The sequence below is a fragment of the Homo sapiens genome, chromosome 2 (assembly GCF_000001405.40).
Source record: "Homo sapiens chromosome 2, GRCh38.p14 Primary Assembly".
NCBI classification, from domain to species: Eukaryota; Metazoa; Chordata; class Mammalia; order Primates; family Hominidae; genus Homo; species Homo sapiens.
Window position 1 is genome coordinate 15,805,475 of NC_000002.12, and position 6,514 is coordinate 15,811,988.

At 52.3% G+C, this 6,514-nt stretch overlaps 2 annotated features.

Annotated features, from left to right (window-relative positions):
* Nucleotides 3,781–4,508: an enhancer, noted in NCBI's record as "H3K27ac-H3K4me1 hESC enhancer chr2:15949379-15950106 (GRCh37/hg19 assembly coordinates)". NCBI's record gives its function as "activates a minimal SCP1, AML or CMV promoter by ChIP-STARR-seq in naive H9 embryonic stem cells {active_cell/tissue: H9 hESC(naive)}" and the evidence as "EXISTENCE:reporter gene assay evidence [ECO:0000049][PMID:30033119]".
* Nucleotides 5,237–5,964: an enhancer, noted in NCBI's record as "H3K4me1 hESC enhancer chr2:15950835-15951562 (GRCh37/hg19 assembly coordinates)". NCBI's record gives its function as "activates a minimal SCP1, AML or CMV promoter by ChIP-STARR-seq in naive H9 embryonic stem cells {active_cell/tissue: H9 hESC(naive)}" and the evidence as "EXISTENCE:reporter gene assay evidence [ECO:0000049][PMID:30033119]".

The window sequence follows — 6,514 nt, forward strand, 5'->3', positions numbered from 1 at the left end:
CTACTGAAGACTGTGGAGCAGGAGAGTAATGTGATCAGATTCAGGTTTAAGAAATCTCTCTCCAGCAGCTGATGATGGGCGGGCTGAAGATAGAGATGAGACTCTAGTCTACATTTCTCTGGAAGACACTTCCAGCACCATAGTGCAGCCACCATCGTCTCCCATCTAAGTGACTACAACCAAGTCCAGATTTGCCTCCTCCAGTCCATTCTCAAGAGGTCAGTGTGACTGATCCTTCCAGAACTCAAATAGGATCATGTCTTCTTCCCCTGTTTAAAGCCTTCAGTGCCATTCCACTGCCCTCAGACAGTCCTTGCATGATCTGGCATAGGTTGCCTCTCAAATTAGGTTCTTGAACTTTCTTTGTCTTCTGTGTGTCAACAAACTCAATGTTCCTCAAAGGTATAGTGTTCTCTCCTGTCTCGGGGCCCACAGACCTATGCTTTTCTCTGTTCCCCCTTACTTCCCACATCCCCAGCCTTATCTCCCCAATTCCACTCCTTCAAATCTTAGCTTAGATGTCACTTCCATCTGGGAAGTCCTCTGGCCCCCAAAGCTAGAAGAGGTGTTTCTTATCTATGTTCTCACTGCAGCCTGCACCTGGCTATATGGTCGTTGCCTATTTACTAGTCCATACCCCACCAGACCACAACCACGTGAAGATGCAACTAGAAAAACAGGACTCTCGTGTTGATGCTCCATCCCCAGGGCCTGGTACGGTATCTGGCATATTTGCACAAGTATTTGTTGACTGCACGAATGGAGACAGGAGACCCACCACAGCCATCCAGATATGAGAAGCAGAGAGCTGCGATGAGGGCAGGCCAGTGGGATGGAGCGGAGAGGAGCGCGGTGGTCATTTGTGTTGATGGAACTCAACAGTGTTGTCCGTGGGTCTAGCAACTCCTTGGCTCTCTCCACTACTTCCATTGGCTGTTGCTAAGGACCCCAGCCTCTAGGGATGAGACCTGGGGGCAGAAAACCATAATGTCATGCGACAGACTGTAAGATCATCGTGCCTTATTCACGTCTTCACGACAGCATTTGTCATTTAGGATTCCAACATCTCTTCAAGCTTCTGTCTTTCCCACTGGGCTGGAAACTTGAGGGCAAGGACTGAAGCTTATGAGCAGGGTGGTACAGAGTAGGGTCCTGAAAGAGCTCATTAAATGCACCTGAACTTGGAAGAGACTCAGTCCCTGCCATCGAAGACCTCACAGTTCATTTCAGGTGGCACCTATGGACACACAAGACTTTTTCAAGGTGGGCTTGATAATGACAGATGACACCATCACTGGGCCACAGTAAGAATTAAAAGGGTTTGGACTGTGCTCTTGAGCACAGAGGAGGGGTCATTGGTTCTGATTTGGTGGCCTGTAGAGAGCTCCCCCGGTATTGCACAAACATGCCTCTGTTTCAGCGTTGTACATTTACTGTCAGGGAGCAGGGTACTCACAGCACACTGACTCCTCTAACAAACTACCCCTGGGTCTCAGGGGCTTCACTGATAAGATCTATTTCTTGCTTCTATCACAGTGCAGTGCAGCTTGGCAGAGAACCACACAGTTATTCAGAGACCCACGGTCCTTCTATTTAGAGTAGAGGCTCTCAGCCATGGCATGGTGACACTTGGGAACCAGGTAATTCTTTGTTGTGGGGGCTGTCCTGTGCTCTAGGTTGTCTAGAGCAGGGGTTCTCAACCCCCAGGCCGCAGGCTGGTACCGATTTGGGGCCTGTTAGGAACCAGGCCACACAGCAGCAGGTGAGTGGTGGGTGAGCATTACCGCCTGAGCTCTGCCTCCTCTCAGATCAGTGGCGGCATTAGATTCTCCTAGGACCGATAACCCTATTGTGAACTGTGCATGTGAGGGATGTAGACTGTGTGATAATTATGAGAATCTAATGAATGTCCGATGATCTGAGGTGGAACAGTTTCATCCAGAAACCATCCCCCTACCACCATCCCCACCCCCACCCACCCCTAGTCGGTGGAAAAATTGCCTTCCACAAAACTGGTCCCTGGTGCTGAAAAGGTTGGGACTGCTGATCTAGAGCATCCTGGCCTCTACACACTAGATGCCAGTAACACACACACCCCTTAGTTGTGACACCGAAAAACGTCTCCAGACATCGCCAACGTTCCCTGGGTGGCAAGATGGTCCCCAGTCGGAGGCCACTGGTCTAGAGGCTCTGCCCTCCTCTAGGGCCTTGGAGTGCTCCACGGGGTCCTCCACCTCCACCAGGCGAGGCAGGGGAGCTGAGGGAAGAGAAAGAGCATTGGGCCACACAGGAGGCTTCATGGGCCGGGGCTGCTGGTGACATACATCCTGTTTCCTCATGTTCTACGGGACAGGCTCAGTCCCATGACTATAGCTGGGAGAGAACTTACGTCCTGTAAGGGAGGCTGGGAAAGAGAGTGTAACCGTGTGCCTGGCAGGAGAGGGAAGTGGCTTAGGGAAGAATTTGCCAACCTCTCCCACGGGTAGAGTTCATGTATTTTCTTTTCATTTCTGAAGATAAGAGAATGCTACCCGCCCCCCCCCCATTTTTTTTTTCCGTGTCAGCTGTGAGGGCTCAGTCTGGCTCCCCAGTCCATAAACCCAACCTCACAGAAGGTCTTTGAGCTCACCTGGAAAACCATGGGAACACACTCCTCCCACACGTCACCGTCCTCTCCAGCCATGGTGAACAGTGCGAACCTAATGAGGCCTAGAAGCCTTTCCACTCCCTCCAGCCACGAGGCCGCCTTCCCATGGCAGGACTAGGGGTGGCTGTCGGACCAGACGTATCAGTCCTGCCCTTGGGAGAGTGTTTCCGACCGCAAGTATGAACCCTCCTCACTAACAGCTATGCTGAAGCACAGCGGGGAGCCAGTGCAGCACAAGCTCAGCACGACCGCGGTTGTAAGAACCCACGTGGAAGCCAAGAAGCCGCGATGGGATTCCAGCAGGGGGAGCGGCGCTGATGTGGTGGGCGAGCCTGGTGCGCTTGGGAAACATCGGGCAGGCGGTTTTCTAACTGAACAGAAAGGACCCTTAGAGAACTGTGGAATATCAGGCTGTAGAGGTAACCTGGGGATCGGAACGCCAGGATAACACAAATCCTTTATTTTGCATTTTCCAATGGCGAGCGAGTGCTTTGGCTTTCCGGATGGACTAAATTTACACTAGCCAAGAAGGATTTTTCTGGAAGCTTCTATAGGAAAATGGCCGTTTTGAGCTCCGACAGGAGTCCCTCTCTCCAACTGCGTGCAAACTCCTGGAACTCCTCCACCACAAATGTTTCATGTGGTGTAGCCGAGAATTAATTAGAAAAGAAAAAAAGAATCTCTCAAGTCAAAACACATATCTCACAACCTATTAGCATTAAGATTAGCATTAAAGAAAGTTGGAAACTATAACATTTTAAGCACAATTTATAAGTCTAATTTCCTGTGTGTCACTCTCAGATAATAAATGCTTTTCCTTCAAGTTGAAAAGTCTTGGTGGAAAGTAGGGGCTAGGAGGTCGGGGAAAAGAAAGAAAAAGTTAATTTAAGGCCTATTAGTTTATTTTTAGTCGCCCAAGATCTGAGGGTCTGAGAACATTTCCCTTTTCTGATAGAACACGCCTTCCTGTGTAGCAAGGAAGTCCCCTGACCTCGGGCCTCCTCTAAGGTGCTACTGATTTTTGACAGAATTCCTCAGGCAAGGGCTTTGAAAGAGGCTGAGCCAGGCCTGTGAGGGGAGGGTGATCTGGGGCCTGGAGGGACAAGGTTAATTGCTGGGAGCATTGAGAGTGGGGTTGCAAGGCAAGGGATACCGGCCGGGAGTCCTGCTTCCTGTATTGCTCTGGAATAAGTTCGCCCACCGCTTCCATAATAAGACATTCCTGCTAATTTGCCGGGAGCTGAAAGGGATTTCTGTTTTTAGCTTTGGGTCTGTGGCAACTGTTTTGTTTTAGATGAAAATTAAATGGGGAAGGGAGCTGGGGTTGGGTGGGGGATGGGAGGCGGAGCCGTAATTGAAGTGCATTACTGCTAATTACTTCGCCCTTTCTTTCAGTCATCATGTTGACAGAGAAATCTATTACCCAGCAGCTCCGTTTCCACAAATTGCCCTTCCCCGAGGACTTTGGGGAGGAGGCTAGATGGTGCTAGGGGAAATCGCTGCTTTGTTGGAGAAGTGGGCCTCCAGCCCTCCTCAGAACGCGGCTCCAGCTGTCTCCTAACCAGAGAGAGGGAAGCTAGTGGGTACCCCGCAGGAGGCGGTGGGAGTCACCTGGGAGTCCTGTCCCACCCAGGGTCCTCCCAGCGGCCTCCTCTTACAGATCACCTGGAATGCTGATGAGGTGGGTGGGGAGACAGCCTGGTCTCTGCCTCAAAACAAGAAAGAGAGTTGGAGGAAATGCTGCCTCAAGTAGCAGCCGTGTTGAAAGCTCTTGCGTATTTGGCCAATGAAATAAGGAGCGGGGCCCTGGGCCGTGCCTTCTGCCTCATTCTGCCTCTCCTGGGCCTTCCTCATCCCTCCGCCTCTCCTCTTCCTCCTCTCTGCGTGTGACATTCCCTCTCCTCTTCCCCGGTCTTCCTCTCTCCTTCACCTCCTGCCTCCTGCCCTCCTCTTTCCTCTTGCCCTCTTGCCCTCTTGCTCCTCGTGGCTCAGCCCCACCGAGGGCCAGTGTTGAGGAGTTTGGGACAGTCATATCAGTGCCTACTGGGTTCCCCATCTCCTCCCTCCCCATCTGTCTTTCCAAGTCATCTCTTAAGACAGAGCTCTAGCATGTGCTAGGGGGTTAGACACCTATGGGCCAGTGAGAAGACGGAAATGATCGGGAGAAGAGCTCGCAGAGCCTGCCTGGCTGCAGCCCCTCCCTTGGCCTCTTCTCTCAGCCTATGCTCCCTCAAAACACATGCGTGGGGCCTCGGTGGCGAGGACGCATCAGAGACAGAGCAAGACGCGAAGTCTGCCCCTAAGAGGCTCATCGTGGCAGGTGACGGGTTGGGGAGAATAAGATGCGTCTAGTTATACCTAGAGCCTAGGACTGAATATAACCAAGGCTAAGCTGCCTTGAGACCCGGTCTCTGCTCCACAAACACCAGTCCAGCATCCACAATAATTTACAAGCAATAGAATCTTGCCTTCCGTGTCTGAAGGGAGTCTGCATTCTTCATGCTTGGCAAAGCTTCTGGAAATCCCTTTTTAATAATATGATTCCAGTCTCTCCCCATCCCCTCACTCCCCCCAGTGACCAATTCTGCCTGTTCCAGTGTGAGCCCCACTCACCGCTTTGGCTTGTCCAGGGTCCCGTCACCCATTCTCTGCCTCCTCCCTCCACACAGGGCCCGGCAGAGGCGCCTCAGAAACTCAGGTCGGTCCTCAGCAGGGCATGTGGGAAGGGCCCGGTGTCGGGCATTGTTTCCCTGTCAGTCTATAGCTGCTGTGGGTCCAGCACCCCCACCACCCACCCCAGCTAGTCTTTGAGCCTGAGAGCACATTACAAGTTTCCAAGATAAGAATGTACTGGCCCCGAAGCTTGGCTGGGACTCTGCCCTTGATGGAGGGTGTGAGGGGGGAACAGAGAGCTCCCCGGGGCATGGGCCACTGTTCTCAAGGCCTTTGCCTTCAGTTCAGGGCCCTACATCTGGAACAGAGCAGGAGGCCAGGGAAAAAATGTCTGCAGAAGAGATCAAACCGTGAATTGTTTTCCAAAGAGCTGGAGAAGGCTTAGGGTATGAACACATCATCAGATTCTGCCAAATAATGGTGGAGGGTACCTGGGAAGACAGGAGGTTATTCAAGGTCTCAGGACACCTCCCACTAGGGTACTGGACAGGTCTGTGGCCTTCCCTTCTTTCCTCACTCCTTTCTCCCATATGCCCTCGGAGGAGGAGCCTGGTGGGGGGGAAGGGGAAGTTTCAATGCATTTTCCTGGGAAATGACTTCTCCGGAGTCACATTTCTTTTAGGTCTATATGGTAGAGTCATGGACTGTCCAGCCGCCCTTGACTTAGTTGGCTGAGATCCACCCAGGAAGCAGGTCCCTGATCTCAGGCGTGGATTCTCTGGAGGGGCTGGATGGGCTGCCTGTGCCTCCTGCAGGCCCTCCTCCGCTGGAAGGAGGCAGGCCAGGAGATGCCTCGCATTCCTGTGGGGCAGTGGGCTGGAGAGGTAGTTGTTTCTTTTTTTTTTTCTTAGAGGCACGGTCTTGCTGTTGTCCAGGCTGGAGTGCAGTGGCGCCATCATAGCTCACTGCAGCATCAACCTCCCGGGCTCAAGTGATCCTCCCTCCTCAGCCTCCTGAGTATCTGGGATTATAGTTGTAAGCCACCACACCCAGCCTAGAGAGGTTTTAAGGCTTCCAGCCTCCCTTGGGGCATGGAGGTCTCCCTCCATAGGCCTGGGATGGGTAGTTGTGGTTTGGGCTGAATGCTCTTGATGATTATCAAGCTACTCCTGGGGTATCCCTGCAGATGAACATGAGACTGAATTTCTGGAAGGAGGAGAAGCTGTGATGAATGCAGAGAGGGTGCACTCGGGA